The following is a 21,703-nucleotide window of genomic DNA, read 5'->3' as shown; positions in this document are numbered from 1 at the left end:
GGTTGACAAGAGGTTTGAAGTGTGTTATAACCAAATAAAGGATGGTATTAAGTACAGGAGCTTTGGAATAGGACACACCTGGCTTCAAATACCAGCTCCACAGCTTGGGGGCATTTGGGCAATCACCTCACTTCCCAAACCCTCAGGGTCCTCACCTATACATGTGGATGATGGGGGCCTATTTCCTAATGAGGATTAAATGCAATGAATCCACATAAAGCGTCAAGCACAGACCTGGCATGTTGTAAATGATCAGTGTTAATTGTCATGATTGTTATCCTTATTAAAGGAATTTTCATTTCAATGAAGCAAGAGGAGCAAACTTGGACAAGTCTGTATCCCAACAAGGTCGGCTGCAGGCCTGAGTGTAGTACCAAGGTGTGAATATGAGAAATGGAAAGATCACAGTTGCTAAGCTGGGCTGACGCTCTGTGAGGGCAAGGAGCCCTCTGTCTGTTCAGCCTTCTGTCTGTCATGTTCACCACTAAATTCTTTTTTTTTTTTTTTTTTTCTGAGATGGAATTTCACTCTTGTTGCCCAGGCTGGAGTGCAATGGCACAATCTCGGCTCACCGCAACCTCTGCCTCCCAGGTTCAATCGATTCTCCTGCCTCAGCCTCCCGAGTAGCTGGGATTACAGGCACACCTAATTTTGTATTTTTAGTAGAGACGGGGTTTCTCCATGTTGCCCAGGCTGGTCTCGAACTCCCAACCTCAGATGATCCACCCGCCTCAGCTTCCCGAAGTTCTGGGATTACAGGCATGAGCCACAGCACCCGGCCAACAATTCTTAAGACTTAATACCATGCCTAGCACGTAGTCTGTATTTGTTGAATGAATGAAATGGGCCAAGGTATGTAGTGCTGTTTGTGGGTATCATGCAGCCGGGCTGCCACTGGGCCCCTGAAGTCCTCCTTGCTGTGGGTTTCTGGGCATACAGGCACTCCTCTTTTATCTTGTTTTTTTTTGTTTGTTTGGTTTTGTTTTGTTTTGTTTTTCTGAGACAGAGTCTCACTCCATCACCCAGGCTGGAGTGCAGTGGCGCTGTCTCGGCTCACTACAACCTCTGCTTCTTGGGTTCAAGCGATTCTCCTGCCTCAGTGTCCAGAGGAGCTGGGACTACAGGTGTGCGCGCCACCATGCCTGGCTAATTTCTGTATTTTTTGTAGAGACAGGGTTTCACCATGTTGGCCAGGATGGTCTTGAACTGCTGACCTCAAATGATCCACCTGCCCCAGCCTCCCAAAGTGCTGGGATTACAGGTGTGAGCCATTGCACCCAGCCTCCTCTTTAATCCTCACAATAACCCAGAAGGGGGTTGTCTCCCATTTCACAGACAAGAAAACTGAGACACAAACCTATGTGTCCAAAGTGGCACAGGTAGGGAGTGTGAAGCCCCCAGGACAGCAGAAGGCCTTTCCACCCTGTCCAACCCACCTGTACCCCGGGCCCTGAGGCCAGTTCTTCCCAGAGAAATAAGCTTCTTTCAGTCTTTTTCTCACTGACCACAAAGACTCAGCTCTGTCCTCGGAAATATTTGGAAAGTTTTATTTAAATGTTTTGTGTTCCCTTTTAACCACCACCAAAAAGAGAAAAAAAAATTTTTTTTTGCCGTTCCAAACAGGAGAGTCGCTTCAGAGAGGAGCTGGCGTGTGTGTTCAGAGCCCAGGAGTGTGAGCCCTGCCAGGTGGCTCTTCCCGGCCTGGGCCACGCTGGGTAGGATGGCCACCCAGGCACCGGCTTCCTGGGACCCTGGTGGTCTTGGAGTGAGTGAGTGAGCAAGGCCTTGTCCTGAGGAGAAAGACCTCAACTCCCCTGAAGGAGGGCTGGGCCTGGGGACAGGGACATGAGCATTGTAGGGCCTGGGGGGTTCCAGAGGTAAGGAGATGGGAGTGGGAGGGTCAGGAGATGAGACTGGGAGGGTCAGATCCAGAATGTTCCACGGAGGCTTCAGGGCCTCTGGGTCTGGAGAAATACGTTCGCTAGAAAAATAAGAGGCTTTGAGAATGTCTGCAGTCTGTACTCTCTGCCTGCCCAAGAGAAATCTACCCTGTTGGCCAAAGGGCAGCGGGGAGGGAGCAAAGGCTGGAGGCCAGAAGTGGGTTTGGCCCTTGGGGAAGATTCCAGAGGGGAGCGAGGTGGGCGGCAGACTTTGGTTTCTTGGGTCCCCTTTCTTGCAGTTGCAGAGGCTGAGGAGGCCCCCACCTCCCTGCCCCTTGAGGGGGGGGCTGCCGTGTGGGAAGTTGGCATCTGTCACGGGCTTGTGGGTGCCCGGGCCCTGGGCCCTCAGAACAGGACGCTCAGGGGGTAGAGGGCCAGCGCGAGCAGCAGGGGGCCTGCAGCAAGGCTGCCTGCCGAGCTGGCAGGAGCACAGTGGCCGAGGTTGGCCCCGATGCAGGCTGCATACGCCATCACGTGGGGGACGTAGTTCTGCTCGTGGACGCCGTGCAGCAGGTGCGCCATGGGGCCCTTGGAGAAGACGGCCACGTCCTCCCCGCCGTGGGTCTCGTGGCGCAGGGGCACAGCAGACTGCGCCTGGTAGTTGTTGTGAGCTGTGGGCCAGGGGAAACACCTGCTGAGAGCCTGCCAGGGGCCTGGCGCTGCGCACGCAGCTTTTCCATCTCCCTTCCAGGCTGGCTTGAATGCTCCCATTTCACAGAAGAGGAAAAGGAGGCTCAATGTGGGAAAGTCATTTTGCCTAAGGCCACGGGATTTGAACCTGAGCCTGTTCTGACACAGGAGTCTGCATTCTCAACCCCCAACAGAGAAAATTAACCTCATTTGGGCTGCTTGGATTAGCAGGGAGAGTTGACGGGGAGACTCTTACCATTGCTGCATCTTTAGACCCCCTAGAACCACTGGGAGTATCAAGAACGAATGAATGATATGGGATGGGATGAACTAACTGCAAAGTCTCGTATACTGGAATATTATAGGGCCAAGAAAAATGAGTATAAAATATTGAGCACCTACTTGTGCCAGGCACTATGCTAAGCTCATCAGACCCATTTGGTCATTCAGACAACCGTCAAAGGTAGAACCCTTTTAGAGAGGAAACTGAAGCAGAGAAAGATGAAGTCACATGCCCAAAGTCTCAGAGCTGCTAGATTGTAGAAGGCGATTCAAACTGAGGTTGTTTGAATCAAACAACCTGGGACTCAACAATCAAACTGGGACTCAAGCCCCAGTCATTCTGAGACCCCTGACCTTGACCACAAGCTGACACCCTATTCCCAAGCCCATCCCCGAGGGGTGCCCTGTCCCCTCCCAGCCCTGGGTCCTGGAGGTCTCACCATAGTCCACCATGGAGACATTCTCTCGTTCACCGCCCACCACCTTGTAGCCAGGCCCATTGCCATACAGGATGGCAGTGAAGGGCTTCTTGTCTGTGTCACTCAGCATGGGGGCCAGACCTGCACAGGGAGGGGGTGTTCAGGGGTCATGCTGGGGCCCCAGGAGTACAGTCCCCAGCCCCCAGATTAGGCTCCTTGGTGGCTTGGTAACCCCTGGGATCTTCTTTGAAGGGCCCTGCAATGCCTCCAAGAAGCCACCTTCTAAACCTTATTATTTCCAACTAACCATTCCCCAGTTTTCATTGTACCCATGTCCCTCCCATTCATCCATCCACCCATCCATCCATCCATCCACCCATCCATCCATCCACCCATCCATCCATCCATCATCCATCCATCCATCCATCCATCCATCCATCCATCATCCATCCATCATCCAGCCAGCCATCCTCTCTCATTCATCTATCCACGTTCTCGCCCAGCCATGGTCAACGTGGCCATCCATCCACCCACCTGCCTGTCTACCCGACCACCACTCAACTCACTCCCCTGCCTCACCCTGCATTTTCTCCCCATCCCCAGTAACTCTTCCTCCCCACCCAGTTGTCATTGAGTCCCCACCATGCTCTGGGCTTGCTGGCTCTCCCACCCACTCCTGCTCCCAGGTGGGTAGACAGGAGACCCCAGGAGTGTCCACCCCAAAGAAGGCCCACCTACCAAAGATAGAGTTGCCACGGGGGGTGTATCCACCAAATGTGAAGACGTGGGAATGGTCCGCAGTGACCACGGTCAGAGTGTCTTCCGAGGAGGTCAAGCTGCCTGCCTGCCCGATGGCCCGGTCCATCTCCACCGCCTCATGCAGGGCCTGCTTGGCTTTTCCTTCATGGTGCCCGTGGTCAATTCTGCCTCCTTGGGACACCAAGGCAAAGGCCTCGGTGAGGGAGGAGGGGAGGAAGATCTGCTCCCCAGCCCCACAACACTGCTGCTGGATTAACCTTTGTTAGCTAGGGAAGGACAGGAACCTTCGCCGGGCACCACTCTGAGCTAGCACCACAGCCTAGGCATTTTACGCAGCCATTCAACCTGACGGAGGCCAGAGAGGGACAGCCCCGGTGCCAAAGGCACATGCATGGGGGCTGCAAAGTCCAGATGTGTAATCAAATTCACCAGGCCGGGAAGCTGTACTCCTCCCACCGCCCCTCCCAGCACTGTCTCTAGCTGCTTGAAGGAGGCACTGAAGCCTTTGGGAGGTAGGGAAGGGGGCACGCTGGAATCCCTACAATGTGCCAGGCACGACACACCCATGTCTCTTTTCCCCTGAACAGCAATGCTGGGCAGAGAGGAATATGATCAGTCCTGTTTACAGATGGAGCAACTGAGGCCTAGTGTGGGGAAGCCCACGGTGGGATTTGCCAGGATGTGAATTCAGGTGTGACTCGTCCTAACCCCGTTTTTCATCTCTACCTCAAATCATCCCCTCTAAAAAGAAAGCACGGAGCTCCCAGAGGTAGTGAAAGTCCCCAGTGCCTGGGCAGTGCCTGTGGCAGGTTCCACAAAGCCCTGCCGAAGCCTGAACCCTCGCAGCCTCCGCCCCCGCTTCCCACCTCCGGGTGAGTGCAGGGGCCTGGCTGGAGGCTTGGCCCAGCAGCCGAGGGCTCTGTGACCTTAAAGGAACACTTCCCTTGCTAACAGGAGGGCGCTGCCTGGTGGACACTCCCAGCTTGGAGGGTCCTGGGCGCCAGGCAGCCCTCTGTTCCCACCAGTCTGAGCCTCGCGGTGGCCCGGCAGGCTGGCAGGGCGTGTCCTCCCTTTGTTGTGGCTCTGGGAGCAGCTAGCCTGGGCGGCCCATCCTGGCCTTGCTCACAAAGGAAACCGCTCCCGGGGGAGCCCGTGCTCACCACCGCTGGTTTCTGGCTGGCTCCTTGGCGTCAGAGGCCTGTTCGGGGCCAGGCCAAGACCGCTGTGCTCGAGTGGGAACCCCGGGGTTTGGCAAGAAAGCAGCCAAGCTGGGCTGGCGGACGCTCACCTCTGGAAGGCGGAGGCGCTGAGCATGTGTGTATGCGTGGGGAGCATATGTGCAAACATGTTCACGTGTGTGCATGTGTGTGTATACATACCGATGTTAGCAGGGCAACATGAGGAACTGCGGTGGGCAAGGGCTGTTAGCACTGGAAGGTTTCTGGAATCTTTATCACTTCCTCACACTTCCTATTGTTCCCGCCTTAACTATTGTGTAGCCATAACAAGGCTAATAATAGAAACACGGTTTATTCTTTACTGGGCCCCGTTCCAAGTACTTTATGTCTCTGAACACAATGGAGGCGAATCACTCTCCAGGAGACAGATGCTATTTTTGGCTTCACATAACAGAAGTGCACAGGTAGAGGTCACACCGCCAGCAGATGGCAGCGCCAGGCCAAGAATTCAGGTCTGTCTGCAAGGCCCCTGGCCGGCGCTGAAAGAGCCTGGGAACATCAGCACACAGCGTGGGAAAGCCGGGGCCTGCGGATTTGCTTTTCTGGGCAGTGAGGCTGAGGGGCTGCTTGCCCCTTCAGGGCCAGGTCCCCAAGAAAGACTACCAAAGGGGAGAAATCTGCCTCCTCTCCCAGGAAGCCTTCCTGGATTGCTGAACCTAACTTGCATCTCCATGCCCAAAGGAGAGCAGCTTGCTGGGCTGGGAGTGTCTACAGTGCCACCCGTCTCCTTCCACAACCTATTCTCCTAAAGGGACCTCTCCCTTCACCCCCAAACCAGTCAGTTCCCTTTAAGAGCTGGACTTCTCCATCCTGACACCAGGGCCGTGTTTCCAGCAGCCCCCTCTCAGCAGACCCGGGGTCCCTACCTTCCACCAGCAAGAAGAAGCCTTTGGGGTTCTTCCGCAGGATCTGGATGGCCACCACCACCATCTCGGAGAGTGACGGGTCCGTCACGTTGTTCCTGTTCAGCTCGTACTGCATGTCCCCTGGCTCGAAGAGACCTGAGGAGGACGCCAGGAGGATGTGGATGCTGAGAGGCTGTGACCCGGCTAGGAGGACTCCAAGGAAGCTGGGGTGTCTCAGGGAATGCAGGCTCCCCACAGCCAGCTTGGGGTAGAGTATGGTGGCTGGGAGGATCCTTATCTGGGTGATTTTTGTGGGCCCAGAATTAGGCCCCCAATTCCTTTTTTTTTCTTTTTTCTTTTTCTTTTCTTTTCTTTTTTTTTTTTGAGACAGAGTCTCACTCTGTTGTCCAGGCTGGAGTGCAGTGGTGCGATCTCGGCTCCCTGCAACCTCTGCCTCCCGGGTTCAAGTGATTCTCCTGCCTTAGCCTCCTGAATAGCTGGGATTACAGACATGCATCACCACACCCAGCTAATTTTTGTTGTATTTTAAGTAGAGACAGGGTTTCACCATGTTAGCCAGGCTGGTCTCGAACTCCTGACCTCAGGTCATCCGCCCACCTCGGCCTCCCAAAGTGTTGGGATTACAGGCGTGAGCCTCCGCACCCAGCCCCAATTCCTTTCATTTTCATTCCCACCACTATGGCGCGGTGGGATCACCATGCCCGTTTCACAGATGAGGAGCACTGAGGCCCAGAGGTGTTCCATAACTTGCTATTGTCAGCTGAGAAGTGGCAGATCTGGGGTTCAAATCCATCAGTCAGTCTGCCTCCAGCCTGCAGGGCTCAGCACACAGCACTGTGGCCCCAAGGCAGAGGGTCACAGCCTGGACTCGATGGGGCCGCTAGAGTGTGTGTGCATTTACATGTTGGATTTGAAGGGCACGGTGGCCTGTGCAGCGAAACAGCAGAAGGTTTGGAATCATTGTCCCTCCTGCTCACTGGGCTCCGTTTTCTCACTTGTGACATAAGGAGAATGATCCATTCCTTGCCCATGGCACAAAGTTCCATGTGTCCCATGCTGGTGCTTCTGATTCTGGTGTCCTTCCAATTCTGGTGTCCTTCCAGAACACCCTGCCCCTCTGTGAGTGGGTACACAGCCGAACAATAGCTCCCATGCACACAGGGTTCACTTGGTGCCACATGCTGTTAGCGCTTTGGAAGCAGGCAAAAGCCAGCCTCCAAGATGGTGCCCAATAACCCCTGCCCCCTGGAATTCACGCGCTTGTGTGGTCTCCTCCCACACTAGCCTTTGTATGCCATAGAATGCCACCGAAATGATGGTGTGTGATTTCGAAGGCTGGGGCATAAAATGTTGTAGCTTCTGTTTATATACTCTTGGATCTCTGTGGGAAGCCAGCCACCATGTAATGAGGACACTCAAGCTGCTCTATAGAGAGCAATGTGCCAAGGAACTGAGGCCTCCTGCCAACAGCCAAGACCAACTCGCCAGCCATGTGAGTGAACCATCCTGGAAGCACCAGCCCCAGTCAAGCCTTCAGATGACTGTGACCTCATGGGAGACCCAGCTAAGCTGTCCCCAGATTCCTGACCCAAAGAAATTGAGTGAGGCAATAAATGTTTACTCTTGTTTTAAACTGTTAAGTTTTGTTTTGTGACAGGGTCTCACTCTGTTGCCCAAACTGGTGCAGTGGCATGATCATAGCTCACTGCAGCCTCAAACTCTTGGGCTCAAGCAAGCCTCCCACGTCAGCTTCCTGAGTGGCTGGCACCACCACACCTGGCTAATGTTTTCTTTCTTTCTTTTTTTTAAGATAGGGTCTTGCTCTGTCACCCAGGCTGGAGTGCAGTGGCATAATCACAACTCACTGCAGCCTCAACCTCCTGGGCTCAGGTGGATCCTCCTACCTCAGCCTCCTGAGTAGCTGGGACTAAAGGTGTGCGCCACCACACCTGGCCAGTTTTTAAAAAATTTTTGTAGAATTGAGGTCTCGCTATGTTTCCCAGGCTGGTCTCAAACTCCTGGGCTCAAGTGATCAACCTGCCTTGGCCTCCCAAAGTGCTAGGATTACAGGCGCGAGCCATTGCACCTGGCCTAAGTTTTTTCGTGTTTGTTCTTTGTTTTTTGTTTTTAGACGGAGTCTTGCTCTGTCACCCAGGCTGGAGTGCAGTGGTGCGATCTTGGCTCACTGTAACCTCCGCCTCCCGGGTTCATACCATTCTCCTGCCTCAGCCTCCTGAGTAGCTGGGACTACAGGCGCCCGCCACCACGCCAGGCTAATTTTTTGTATTTTTAGTAGAGATGGGGTTTCACCTCGTTAGCCAGGATGGTCTCAATCTCCTGACCTTGTGCTCCGCCCACCTCGGCCTCCCAAAGTGCTGGGATTACAGGCATGAGCCACTGCACCCGGCCTGCACCTGGCCTAAGTTTTGAGATAATTTGTTATACAGCAACAGATAACTTATACAACACAAGTTCATGTCATGCTCATGACAACCCAGGGGTTGTCTCCAGCCCCATCACTATCTCCATTTTATGGGAGCATCATTATCCCTACTTTATAGAAGAGGAAACTGAGGCAGAAAGAGGAGAAATCACTTGCCCAAGGTCACACAGCTTAGAGGTGGTAGAGCTGGATTTGAACCCAGCACTCTGGCTCTAAGATCCATGAGCAAAACCAGCATGATACACGGGTGCATGCACAGCCCATGTGGTACTGGGTGTGTGCCATGTGACCCAGGCAAGCAAGAGGCTGTGTGCATGTGTCTGGAGGACCCACCAGGTGCACAGCTCTGAGCCCATAACCTCTAATGACACCCAGGACGCGGAGCTGTGTTCCTTGGGAAATGTCTGCAGGAGATTTTGCCACCACTTGCTTGGCACTACAGACAGCTGGAAAAGAAAACCCGGATAGCTGCATGGTGGTGCTCAGGGCTGCATCCCACCAGACCTGAAGCTGCCCCTGGGCCCTCACCACATGCTCCCCACTGCCTGGGGAGGAGGGCAATCGTCAGGATGGGCAGAGATAACTTGGCTGGCTTCTGCCCTGGCCATGCACACAGTAGAGCTGACTCCAGGTCCCAGGCTCCATAGCCCAGGAGCTGTTAAGTCCCAGTTCCCAGCCAGGGCTCAAACTTGCCTGGGCCGTACCGCTGTCACTTGTGCCACATGCCGCGGGCCACTCCCCTCTCTGAGCTTCAGTTTCTTCTTGTGCCCAATGAGGCTAATCCCCCTGCACAGCCAGCAGATTTCAGGCCTAATTCCAGGAACCAGAACCCCCTTCCTTGCCTCTCCCAGGTCCTGAAGCCCAAGAGCAGAGGCCCCTAAGTGGGCGTCAGGCTAGGGCCTTGTCCCCAGGTGCTGGCCACACGCAGCTCCGGCCACCAGGCTCCGAGCCATGCATCCTCCCCTCCACCCCCTCCACTTACCCAATAGGTAGTCCACATTGTGGGGGTCAAGGGTCAGGAGTTCCGTGCGGTTCCAGATGAAGTGGGAGTGCTAGGAGGAAGGGCTGTGTCAGCACATGCCGGGGGCTAGGGAGAGTCGGAAGGACTGACCCCAGCAGCTATCAGAGTCTGAGGCCTTTACTTGTTTCCTTCCCTCACTTAAAAATCTCTCCCTGAGGACCCACCATCCCTGACCTCAAGAAATGATGAATCAATAGCCCATTATAATGTATAATGCAAGGGGATGAGAATTCTGATAGAGCCCAGGGAGGCCGTGAGCCCAGACACAGGACCAGGGAGGGCTTCCTGGTGGAGGTGATGTTCTAATGGGTCCCTGGAGGACAAGTGGGAATTGAACAGCCTAGGGTCAGGAAGGCTATTCCAGGGAGGAGGGATCATGGGGCAAAGAAGAGCCAGGCACAGGTCTCCAGGGGCCTTGAGTGCTGACAGGTGTGGGCTGTTTTCTGGAGGCCGTGGAGGGCCAGGGAGGAAGCAAAGCCCCAGCTCTGCTTTGGGGACCCCATCTGGGAGGGGAGATAAAGGCGTGGCTGTTTCCCCAGGGAATAAAGTCCACAGAAAGAAGCCAGCTAGGCCAGGCCTGGAGAGGGCACCATGTGGGCCTGGACCAGGGGTCCCAGCACTACCAAGGATCTGCTGTGTGCCCTTAGAAGACCCCCTGCCTTCTCTTAGCAATGACAGTGGGATCAGTGGCTTTGCAAGCCTCAGGGGCTGTTGTGGGGAGGAGGGCAGAGAGGCTCAGAAAGTGGGGCTCCGCACCCCCCCTCCCAGCCCCTGCTTCCTGGAGGTGGCTCTCCTGTGCTCTCTCCCTCCAGGGTTGTTCCTGTTATTCCCTCTTTACAGATGAGGGCACCGAGGCACACAGACCACGTAGCCACTGAATGGTAAAGGTGAAACTGACTCTAAAACCCACTCTTAAGGCATGATTTTCTAGGGATGTGGGGCCTACACGGGACCTGATACCCAATGTGGCCAGGCTCGGGGCCATGGTGTAGACGCTCTCTCCCCGTCTTAGAGGTCTAGACCGAGTTCCTGGGTAAGCACCCTGCCTGGGCAAGGAGGATGAAGCTCTGGCCCCATGTGCCACGTAGAGAAACTGAGGCTGGTGTCTCTCTGGCTTGAGCTTGGAGGGGGCTCTGGCCCAGCCTGAGCTGACTCAGAAGGGATGGAAAGGGTTCAAAGCCACTCAGTTCCACACCCCCACCATCCCCACGGGGGCCCTTCCCTAGTCCCTACCCCCACCTCGTTCTTGGCCCAGCCTCATCCCACGAGGCCTCCCCAGGGGCCAGTCCTGGAACTTGCAGAAACCCAACCCCAGAGTGACATCAAAGTGGCTGCCAGGCTACTCCCCACTGTCTTCAGCCCTGACCACAGTCATTTCCAGACCCCAGCTGCCCCAGGCCCGCAGGCCAGCAGCTCAGATTTAAAGGGCCAGAGGCCACTCCAAGGAGCTGGAGCTTGGGGTCCTTCCAGAGGTCCCTCCAGCCTCCCTTCCCCAATCTATTCCGTCCTCCAGCCTCCCTTCCCCAATCTATTCCATCCCCCAGCCAAGGGGGACTCACTGTGGAGGGCTTCTCCGCTCCCTCCATGGCTTGCACACTGGGGCCAACCATGTCCTCCCCTGATCCATCCAGCGCTGCCTCCTCCCTCCATCCTCCTACTTGCCCAGAGCTTCTTGGCTCCTCCCTGTCATCTGTCCCCCCAGGGCGCCTGCAGAGCCAGGCGTCCCCCATGCAGGCACACAGCATTCCATGTTTCCTTGGCCATCTGACTCAGCCTCTGTGCCTCACGCATGCCCCGCCAGGTGCCTACATACAATAGGTGCTCAGGGTGACTCAATGTCCACGCAGGTTATTCCCTGGCCCAGCCTCCTCCTCACCATCCGCCTCTCTCTGGTATCCCCTCCAAGGGAAGGAAATGATTAGTCACTGACTATCTACTGCTTGTATATCTCTTAGGCCATTTGAGCCCATGGAGGAAAGATTTCCGATGCCCTTTCTACAGAGGACAACAGAACTTCAGAGCAGGGGTCACACAGCCTCTCCCCATCACAGGCCACCTCTGCAGCCACATGGCCCCAGCACAGGCTACCTTGTATCTCGGTTTGAAGCTCTTCCAGGTGTCAACGAGGTCCAGGCCGTCCAGCCTCGTGCCCCTGGCTTTCTCGTCACTCTCATACTCCACATCAGTTTTATTCTTGGGGTACATGTATTTCCGGCCACCCCCCATGATCACCTAAAAGAGACAGGAGCCATCACTTCTGCAGGGTTCCAAGATGCCCAGAAGCCCCAGTGACCTCGGCTTGGAACCTGGACTCCTGGAGTCCCTGGAGATGGTGTGGACACTTTCCCAGCCTGGTGAGCCAGGCCTCAGTCATCTCTGGGCCTTACTTGTCCAGCGTGGGGAGATGAAATCACGAGTCTATTGGGACGGTGGTTTGGCGCTTCTAGGGATATTGGAGGAGCTGATAACTTACCTTACTTGGCTTCCCGGAATCCACAGAACTCCCACTCGAATAAGAATCAGACCATTTACAGAGCGTTCCCTGTGTGTCAGGCACTAAGCATTTAAGATACATTCTGACTCAACTTCATACCAAGGCTGCAATAAACCCTGGCCACCTGTTTTCCAACTAAAAAAATGGGCACAGAAATTGGTTTTTTCCCCCGAAGGCCACAGAGCCAGGAAGTGGCAGCATCAGGATTCAAACCCAGGGCTTTTCCGGCTGTGGCACTAGGGCCCTGCTGTATTCGTGCAGCTAAGGGCAGGGACTCCCAGAGCCTCCTCTCCCACGGTGGAAGGCTGAATGCGTGCAGGGAGAGGCTCCAGCCAGGGAGGTCTTTGGGGCAGCCCACAGCTGGGAGCCAGCCCACCGCAGCCTGGGCAAACAGCGGGGCCGGGCCTCACGGCTCTGTAGTCACCACCAGGCTAATTTTACCCACCAGCTGGTGTGTGCGGGCAGACGGACGCGGGACTGTTTGTTTTCCTTGGGAGTCCATGTTTGAAGTTCTGACTATTTTTAAAGTAGGGCCAAGAGCATAACAGCAGCCGCCTGCGGTGACCACCACACTAGTGTTCTCTTGTCACCGCGGGTGCCAGCCCGGGCCACTGCCCCTGGCTGACACCTTGGGAGTGCAGAGCCTGGCTGACACTGGCCCCAGATCCACCATTCCAGGCCTGCATCTCATAGGTCCCTTGCTCTATCCTCCACTCTGTCTCCCACCTTAGATCCTAGGTTTTGTGGAATGCACAGGGGGCCAGGAACACAGGATGGCTGGAGAGGTGGGAAAGGTGCCCCAGGACCAGCCTGGGTCCAGGCCATGGTCATGGCCGTGAGCTTTGAAGTCAGACTTGGGTTTGAACCCTGACTCTATCGACTACTGACCAAGGGCCTGCCACCTAAACTCTGTGAGCCCAGTTTTCCTATCCATAAAATGCGACTGGCCAGGCGCGGTGGCTCATGCCTGTAATCCCAGCACTTTGGGAGGCTGAGGCGGGAGGATCACTTGATGCCAGGAGTTTGAGACCAGCCTGGACAACATGGCAAGACCCTGTCTATACAAATAAAATTTGTTTCGAAACTTAGCCGGGCATGGTGGTACAGGCTTGTGCTCCTAGCTATTCAAGGGACTGAGCCAGGAGGAGCACTTGAGCCCAGGAGGCTGAGACTGAAGTGAGCCATGATCACGCCACTGCACTCCAGCCTGGGCAACAGAGTGAGACCCTGTCTCAAAAATAAAATAAAATAGGCCGGGCGCGATGGCTCACGCCTATAATGCCAGCACTTTGGGAGGCCAAAACGGGCGGATCACCTGAGGTCCAGAGTTTGAGACCAGCCTGGCCAACATGGCGAAACCCCGTCTCTACTAAAAATTTAAAAAAAAAAAATTAGCCGGGCGTGGTGATGTGCGCCTATAATCCCAGCTACTCAGGAGGCTGAGGCAGGACAATCGCTTGAACCCGGGAGGTGAAGGCTGCAGTGAGCCAAGATCGCACCACTACACTCCAGCCTTAGAGACAGAATGAGACTCCGTCTCAAAATAATAATAATAAATAAAATGCAACTAACATCCATCCACAGACCCATCACAGGAGGAAAGGCAGTCACCCAGGGAAGTCCCCAGCACCCAGGGGGTGGCTGCCACTGGAAGGCATTTCTATTGCCAGAAGGAGTGGGGAAACAAGTGGTTCAGAGAGGCAGAGTCCTTGCTCTCAGCTGCAGCCAGGAGCTCAGGGGGCAGGGTGGGCTGGGAGAAGAAGGAGAAGGGGACCCCAGGTCACGGGTCCCTTGCCCCGCCCCCCACAACTGTTCCCACAGAACCTGACCTCTTGGCATCTTCAGAGTGGAAAACGAAGCCCCCAATCTTCCTGCAGGGAGCCTCATCGTTTCCAGCCCGGCAGCGACTTCACACGGGCTCATTAAACTCCCAAATAACAGACTTGCTGTTTGGCTTTGGGGTTTAGGTTTGTGTCTTTCTTTCTTTCTTTCTCTTCTTTCTTTTTTTTTTTTAAGCAACAGTATTTATTTTCAGGGTGGACACCAGGATTTTTGTTTCATGTACAGTCTGGGGACTGGGAGGCTTTTGGGGGGGTGGTGACGGAGAGGCAGGTGGGGCTGGGAGAGAAAGGAAGAGGAGGAAAGAAAGGGATCCTCACACAGGTCCTCCGTCCTCACTCACTCCCTGGCTTGTGCCCCTTGACGTGGCCCCTGCGGCCCCCCCTCCTCATCTCCCACCCCCTCACCTGAAACATCTTCCCTCCCCTCGAATTTCCTTCAAGTTCCTGTCCCCTGCTCAGGCTGTCCCTGACAAACCCCTCTGAGGAGCAGTCCCCATGTAATTATACCCTGTGCCTGTACAACAAATGTTCTCACATCCATGACCTCATCACGGCCTCCCACGGCCCTGGGAGCAAGCAAGTGTGGCTCTCTGTTTCTGCTGCACAGGTGGGGAAACTGAGGCATAGGGAGGGGAAGGAACTCGCCCCAGGCCACATGTCGGGTGAAGGCAAGCCAGGATGAGTGGCTTGGCCTCAGATGTCTGTTCAGTGAAAGGGGCCAACAGCACTGTGTGTCCTGAAAGCGGGTACTTAATCCACCATGCTGGGAAAAGGGCAGACGTGGGTCTCTACTGTGGAGGGGCCAAGTAGCCCCCAGAAATTTGTGGGGGGCAGTGCATGGAGGGCTGAAGGCAGGTGAGTTTGTCTGGTGGTGGAGAGAAAGAGGTGAGGTGTAGCTGGGCAGGGGGGCTTTCTCTGCCCCTCACCGAATCCCCATTCCAGGCTCAAGGGGCAGAAGTCCCCAGATCGCCTCAGCAGTCCCCCACAGTAGGCAATAAAAGCCTGAAAAGGAACGAGCCGGGCATTCTCACTTAAGAACAGAGAGTAAGCGTCACATGGATGACTTCTGTCTCCATGAGTCAGCTCAGTTTGTTGAAGTGTGTTTCAGGGCAAGGACATGTGGCTCCTGCGTAAGTGCCACCACCTTCTGGGCACTCGCTAGGCCTCGGGTCCTGTGCTGAGCTCCACAGGGATTATCTTAATCAGTTCTTGGCATAAGCTTATGAGGCAGGTACAGTTCACAAAGGAGTTGTGAAAGGGAAGCCTCAGAGAGGTTAAGTAACTGACCCAAGGTCACACAGCTAGCAACACGCAGGGCAAGGTCTGGAACTCGGAAGTTTAAACACGAGAGCTGGCACTAGCCAACCACTGTACACACCAGCTCTTTGCCGGGCATGCTGGTGGTTGAGTGTACAGATATGTACCCATCTGTGACCATGTGAATACGCAGGGCAGGCAGACGACACTTGGCCATCACCACCTCCCGTGTAGTGGGGGGCAGAGGAGGGCACAGCACCAGGTTTCAATTTATGGAATCATCCCTGGATGCCTGGTTCTTGGGGTGTGGTGGCGGTCACATGAGGGTTCACCCCGCAGCCCCACCGCAGAGAAATCCCACAGTGCCTGCCTGCCCAACCGCAAATCCCCTAATGGGCTGGGAGCCTCCCAGGTGTGTGGGGAGCCAGGCCAGGCTGCTTTCTCCGGGCCAGCCTGGGCCTGAGGCCTCCTGCCCACCAGAGGCCCCGCCTCACCCCGTCCCTGCCCGGCTGCCCCCGAGCACTCACGTCAATGTCCCTGATGTTATGCATGAGCTGGTAGGCGATGTCCTTACAGCCCTGGCTCAAGGCCTCAGGGGGCATCTCGTTGTCTGAGTACCAGTCCCGGTCAGCCGAGTGGGCGTAGGCGGCGCTGGGGGTGGCATGGTTCACTCTCGTGGTGGTCACAATGCCCACAGATTTCCCTGGGGTGCAGGAGGGGCGGGTTTGGCTTTATCCACAGATCGGGGTGTCCCAGAGGCCTCCTCCCTCCCTTCCCCCTCCCCGCTAAAGACAGGCCCCCGCTTCAGTTCTGAGGATTGCCCGGGTCTCAGTCTCCCCATCCACAGCAGCAGGTGTCTGGCAGTGGCTTCCAAGTAGCCGAGCAGCCAGAACACTGCCTCTGGAACCCTCTCCCCTCACCCCGAAGGCCCTTGAGATGTGAGCACCTGGGCTGGAGTCCTCCCCTTCATCAAGGCGCCCACAGGACCCCTGAGGGATCTCAAGTGGACTGTGGCTCTGTCACCTGTATGTTGGCCTTGTCACCTGTGTTTTGGCCTTGGCCCCTGACTAAAGCTTCTGGGGGCACAGGCTGGGCCTCCCAATTCTGAGGAGGGAAGGGGCGTGGCCATGGACTGCACCCCACAGGCTAGCCCTGGGCTGACTTCTCCCTCCTCACACCAACCCTATGAGGGGGCTACGTTCCCACCCGTTTTATAGTCAAATGAAGAATCGACTCAGAGAAATGAACTGGGACCAGAACCCACCACTGAGTGAACCCCAAACCCTCAGCTTCCCCTGTCACGGAAGGAATCCCATGGATATTACAGACTCCCAGCATATCAGAGCTGGGAGCCCCACAGAGAAGCCTTTTCTAGCCCCTTCCCATGACACAGTCAGAAAGACTGAGGCCTGGACAGGCCACGAAGCTGGCCCTGCTCCCCACTGCTCCCCCGACTCACCAGCGTCCTTGGCCCAGCGCAGGATGGAGGTGACCTCGTTCCCCTGGGTGGTGTTGCACCGGGAACGCTCAGTGGCTGCGCTTACCCCCACGGTGCCCTCATTGGCCTTCACCCCACACAGGTAGGCGGTGGCGGTGCCGGCACTGTCAGGGACCTGGGCATTGGTGTTGTACGTCTGCAGGTGGGAGAGGAGGGTCAGGAGATGGCCAGGCCTTCGCCCCAGTGGCACCCACCCCGCCTACACTCACACCATGGGGACTGGGGCGTGAGGGACCAGAGAGGACCCCATAGCCTTGACCAGGCCCACTGCCCACTGAAGCCCCCCAGAGCCACAGGACTACCTAGCTGCCTGCTTCCTGCCATCATTCCCTGCACCCTGGCAGCACTGGGGCAGGACCTTAGCTCTCCAAAGTACAGAGAAGTGTCCGGCGGAAGATTGGGGCTCAGGTGGGGTCAGCGGAGGCCTCTCTCCGGGCCTGGGGCTGCAGGAGCCAGCAAGGGGTTGGGGAGCAGGGGAGTCCTGGAGAAGGGAGAGGGAGGGGCCTTCTTGAAGGAGTGGGGGGTCTGGGGATAGGGTAGTGAAAGTGAGGGGGAAGGGGACTGGGGAAGGGAAGGGTGGGGCCAAGACCAGCGCTGACTTCTCTGCCACCTGCCCTGCGGCCACCATCACAGGGTTGCCCTACATCCGGATGTTTAGCAGAGACCCCAAAACTATTTGCCTGTCTCCCTTCCCCACCAGCCTGAGAGCACCTTGAAGGCACAGAAGGCACCATAGTCCCCACTACTCCCCCAGAAGTGAGCCTGGGGCCTGACCCAGGGTCTGGAGGTTATTACATAACACCACTATCACCACCACCAATAGCAATAGCTACCCGGCAGTGCACACTGCCTTGAACAACCTAGGTCAGTACAGGCACACCTCATTTTAGTGTACTCCACAGACACTGTGTTTGTTACAAATTGAAGATCTGTGGCAACCCTGTGTCAAGCAAGTCTATCAGCATCATTTTTTCCAAAAACATGAGCTCACTTCATTAGCGTTTTTTAGCAATAGCATATTTTTAAATTAAGGTATATACATTTTTTTAGACATAATGCTATCCCACACTTAAAAGACTACTGTAGGGTGCAAACATAACTTTTATATGCACTGGGAAACCAAAAAATGTGTGACTTGCTTCATTGCAATATTTGCTTTATTACAGTGGCCTGGAACCAAACCCGAAGTATAGCTGAGGTATGCCTATAGTCTAATTAACTTCACGAACTGCCTCGGGAAAGAATGAATGAACTGGAACTTCATGCAAAAGTGTATACAGGCCAGGCACGGTGGCTCATGCCTGTAATCCTAGCACTTTGGGAGGCCAAGGTGGGCAGATCACCTGGGGTCAGGAGTTCGAGACCAGCCTGGCCAACAGGGTGAAACCTTGTCTCTACTAAAAATAAAAAAATTAGCTGGGCATGGTGGCGCATGCCTGTAATCCCAGCTACTTGGGAGGCTGAGGCAGAAGAATCACTTGAACTCGGGAGGCAGAGGTTGCAGTGAGCTGATGTCATGCTACTGTACTCCAGCCTGGAAGACAGAGTAAGACTGTCTCAAAAAAAAAAAAAAAAAAAAGGCATATATAGGCCGTGCATGGTGGCTCACGCCTGTAATCCCAAGACTGGGAGGCCAAGGCTGTAGGATCGCTTAAGCCCAAGAATTAGAGACCTTGGGGGGGTCTCTAATTATCCATATGTGGTGGTACACACCTGTAGTCCCAGCTACTCGGGAGGCTAACGTGGGAGGATGGCTTGAGCCCAGGAGTTGGAGGCTGCAGTGAGCTATGACTGCACCACTGCACTGCAGCCTGGGCAACAGAGCAAGACCCTCTCTCTAAACACACACCCGCAAGCAGGTACAGTGATGCTATGGTGTCAGAAGTCAGGGCAGTGGCTGCTCCAGGTGGGGAGTGGGCTTGGGCATGGAGGGGGCTCAGGGGGTCAGGGGACCTCTGGCTGCTGTCATGTTCAGATGCTCGACCTGGATACTGGATATACAGACCTGAACTGGGCTTGGGGATGGGGCTCACCTTGGAGAGGGCCACGAAGGGGAACTTGTCCATCTCCAGCCTGGTCTCCTCCCCAGGGTTGTGGTGGAGCTGACCCTTGAGGATGCGGGCAGCCGTCACTGTGGAGACACCCATCCCTGCAGTGGGGAGTGGGGGCCTCAGTCTCTCGTGCTCCTGCCTCTCCAATCAGCCTGCTTGGGTACCCAGAAGCTCTCTAGTTCGGTACCAAGGCAGGCTCGGGCAGTTGGCACTGGGCATGGCTCTGTAAATGTCAGTGAGCAGCCCCTCTCTCCCTTCACCCCCAGATCCTCAGGGGGCTGTCTGGCAGAGCAGGCCTCTTGAATCCACAGCCTGGCCCCTCATCCTTTTAAACACCCTTCCTCCAGAGCCCTAGCCCCTTCAACACAGCCCCCTTCAACTCAGCCTGGCTCCCGGGGCTCCTAGCTAGGTGTCCTGTTCCACCCCTCCCACAGGCCCCTGGGCCTCACCATCTCCCAGGAACATGATGACATTCTTAGCCACGTTGGTGTTGAGCTTCTGAAGCTCCAGGGCATATTTCAGTGTCTCTTGCGCTTGGTCTCGCCAGTACTTGGGGTCTTTCTCTTTCTCTAAACACAGAGAGAGGCAGTTACTTGGCGGGGTAAGGATAGCCTCCTATCTCCAGACGTACAGATCCCCCCACTTCTGATTGCTCAGGCTGGAATGCCTGAACTTGGAGGTGGGTGCAATAGTTGCCCACCCAGACAACACATCTGTGGTTTATAAATATGTGCCATCCAGATCCTCCAGAAAAGCCTGTGGACCCTGGGGTCTTCTCCTCACATCTCAGAATGAAGAAACCAAGGCTCAGAGACAACGAGCAACTTGCCTAAGGCCACACAGCACAGGCAGACACTGGCAGGGCTGGGTTTCGCTCCAAAGCCCATGCTCATTCCTTCTACCCAGTAGGGAGATGAGCTGCTAAGGCAGCAAATGAATTGTGCTAGCACAATTAAGAGAGTAATGTTTAACCTATTCAACAAACTCCTTCCAGCAGAAGGGGTCCCCTGATATAGCCAGCCATCAATTATCAACTCTGCTTAGCTTATTCATTAAAGTAGGCTCAGCAGGAACCTGACTTGGTTTAATAGCAGTGCTGGAAAGCGAAGCTTGCCTTTTGCTTAATATGTCAAATTTAAAGGAGCCAGGTGATCTCACTCTTGTTAGGATTAGTTATCAAGGACGACATTCTGCATCTCTCATCGCCCCCTCCATCCCTCTTGGCTGATAGTGACTTCTGGCTGGGGCTTTATGGTTTTGAGATAAAATGAGAACTAAGAACACTTCTTTCTCTCTCCCTCTTTCTCATGTGTGTGTGTGTCCAGCAACCAATCCACAGCTTTAGTGCCAGACAGACCTCAATTAAAACCCCAGCTGCTGGGCATGGTGGCTCATGCCTGTAATCCCAGCACTTTGGAAGGCCGAGGCAGGCAGATCACCTGAGCTCAGGAGTTCGCGACCAACTTGGGCAACACGGTGATATCCCGTCTCTACTGAAATATGAAAAATTAGCTGGGCGTGGCAGTGTGCACCTGTAGTCCCAGCTACTCAGGAGGCTGAGGCAGGAGAACTGCTTGAACCCGGGAGGCGGAGGTTGCAGTGAGCTGAGATCATACCACTGCACTCCAGCCTGGGTGACAGAGCTAGACTCCGTCTCAAAAACAAACAAACAAAAAACCCCCAGCTGCTCCAAGTACTAGCTCTGTCACCTCCCTCAGCCTCAGTCTCTTCCCCTGTTAAATGACATTGCTGGCATCATCCCCTCAGGGTCGCTCTAAGGACTGGGCCGGATAAGGCAAGTGACACACCTGACCCACAGGAGAGGCTCAAAAGTTGCCTCCCATCCCCATTATCCCGTCTCCAGGGCTGGACCAGGACCCTGGCTATGGGAGCTGGAGTCCCTCCCAGAGTCTGCGGGGCTCCCCTCTGTCCCAGGGCCCTATCAGATCTGCTCAGAAGCCTAGAGAGGAGGCTCCCTAGCGGTTTCCTCTTTCAAGGCCTCCCACTGCACAGAACGGGAGGAGAGATCAGGAATGGGAGGGTCTTGTCCAAGGCCGTGTAGCATGTTCGTGGGCTGGGGACACAATTCTCATCTTTTGGCCCAGCTCCGACGCGTGCCTGGCTCTCGGAGTGGCCGTGGGTAAAGAACAGCCCTCCTTCCTCACACACGCACTGGCTCTGGGCGAGATGCCAGGGACCCCCCACACAGCTTCTCTTATTCCTCTCAACTGCCTTGGCAGGTGGGCACCAGTGTCTCCTCCACATTAGGAAATGGAGAGCCTGAGATTAGGGCCCCAAGTGGGAGAACCGGAAACTCACGCGTCGCCGTGGCTCTGCCCCAGCCTAGCATAGGCGCAGAGCACAGGCGAGGAGCCGCCAGGGTGCTGCAGTGCACCTCTAGCTTTGGACCCAAGCACACCCCACGCCCCTCCCCAAGAGGCCTCCCCTTACGTCACCACCACCCCAATCCCTCAGCCCACTACCCTCATCCCGACAGCCCCAGGTCCACCCTCTCTCTTCTGGAAGTGTCTGCTGAGGGCATCAATTTCAGATGTCCCCACGCAGTCCCCACTGGGAATTGGGAGCACCTTGGCCCTTCTGCCCGACAGGGTGCCTTTGGACAAGAGTTTCTGCCCCAGGAAATGGGACACCCGTAGCTATCCACAGGCAGTTCTAGGATGACATGAGATAAAGTCTGGGCAAGGCCGGGGCCAGAGGTTTTCCTCAGAGGTCCCCCAGGCCCAGGCTGGTTCCAGCCTCCCTCCTGCCTTCCTCAAAACACACCACGGTGCTGTTGGTCATAGAGCCTCTTTGGCCAGTTGGGTGCCACTGGGTGGTGAAGACCTTCTACCCACCCTGACCCGCTACAACCTGTACCTGACTTAACAGCTTGGAGGTCCCAGGGCTGGGCTGACATCAGCCCGCCCCACACCTGTTGCCCTTGTTCAGCCCAGCCTCTGCCAC

General features: G+C 55.5%; 1 protein-coding gene across 7 annotated transcripts in view, besides 4 other annotated features; it reads right to left on the bottom strand.

The window, feature by feature from the left end:
* Nucleotides 1,524–21,703, bottom strand: part of ALPL (alkaline phosphatase, biomineralization associated) — a 69,427-nt gene continuing 49,247 nt past the window's right edge. For 5 of the 7 annotated variants that reach the window (NM_001369805.2, NM_001369804.2, NM_000478.6 and 2 more), the window contains 10 exons: nucleotides 19,189–19,308; nucleotides 18,722–18,837; nucleotides 16,650–16,824; nucleotides 15,718–15,893; nucleotides 11,687–11,830; nucleotides 9,560–9,629; nucleotides 6,135–6,269; nucleotides 4,010–4,201; nucleotides 3,293–3,412; nucleotides 1,524–2,551 (listed from right to left, as the gene is read on the bottom strand). In NM_001369805.2, coding sequence (NP_001356734.1) covers nucleotides 2,286–2,551; nucleotides 3,293–3,412; nucleotides 4,010–4,201; nucleotides 6,135–6,269; nucleotides 9,560–9,629; nucleotides 11,687–11,830; nucleotides 15,718–15,893; nucleotides 16,650–16,824; nucleotides 18,722–18,837; nucleotides 19,189–19,308 — 1,514 coding nt within the window. In that variant the 3' untranslated portion in view covers nucleotides 1,524–2,285. Of the gene's footprint in view, nucleotides 2,552–3,292; nucleotides 3,413–4,009; nucleotides 4,202–6,134; nucleotides 6,270–9,559; nucleotides 9,630–11,686; nucleotides 11,831–15,717; nucleotides 15,894–16,649; nucleotides 16,825–18,721; nucleotides 18,838–19,188; nucleotides 19,309–21,703 lie in introns of those variants that run through there. The other 2 variants (XM_017000903.2, NM_001177520.3) reach the window with 2 other exon arrangements.
* Nucleotides 1,839–2,362: an enhancer, noted in NCBI's record as "H3K4me1 hESC enhancer chr1:21904065-21904588 (GRCh37/hg19 assembly coordinates)". NCBI's record gives its function as "activates a minimal SCP1, AML or CMV promoter by ChIP-STARR-seq in primed H9 embryonic stem cells {active_cell/tissue: H9 hESC(primed)}" and the evidence as "EXISTENCE:reporter gene assay evidence [ECO:0000049][PMID:30033119]".
* Nucleotides 4,437–5,111: an enhancer, noted in NCBI's record as "H3K27ac-H3K4me1 hESC enhancer chr1:21901316-21901990 (GRCh37/hg19 assembly coordinates)". NCBI's record gives its function as "activates a minimal SCP1, AML or CMV promoter by ChIP-STARR-seq in naive H9 embryonic stem cells {active_cell/tissue: H9 hESC(naive)}" and the evidence as "EXISTENCE:reporter gene assay evidence [ECO:0000049][PMID:30033119]".
* Nucleotides 5,112–5,786: an enhancer, noted in NCBI's record as "H3K27ac-H3K4me1 hESC enhancer chr1:21900641-21901315 (GRCh37/hg19 assembly coordinates)". NCBI's record gives its function as "activates a minimal SCP1, AML or CMV promoter by ChIP-STARR-seq in naive H9 embryonic stem cells {active_cell/tissue: H9 hESC(naive)}" and the evidence as "EXISTENCE:reporter gene assay evidence [ECO:0000049][PMID:30033119]".
* Nucleotides 10,833–11,417: an enhancer, noted in NCBI's record as "H3K4me1 hESC enhancer chr1:21895010-21895594 (GRCh37/hg19 assembly coordinates)". NCBI's record gives its function as "activates a minimal SCP1, AML or CMV promoter by ChIP-STARR-seq in primed H9 embryonic stem cells {active_cell/tissue: H9 hESC(primed)}" and the evidence as "EXISTENCE:reporter gene assay evidence [ECO:0000049][PMID:30033119]".

This window comes from Homo sapiens, chromosome 1 (genome assembly GCF_000001405.40).
Source record: "Homo sapiens chromosome 1, GRCh38.p14 Primary Assembly".
In the NCBI taxonomy this organism is placed as follows: Eukaryota; Metazoa; Chordata; class Mammalia; order Primates; family Hominidae; genus Homo; species Homo sapiens.
Note: the sequence above shows the minus strand (reverse complement) of the source record. Positions and strands in the feature narration are given on the sequence as shown.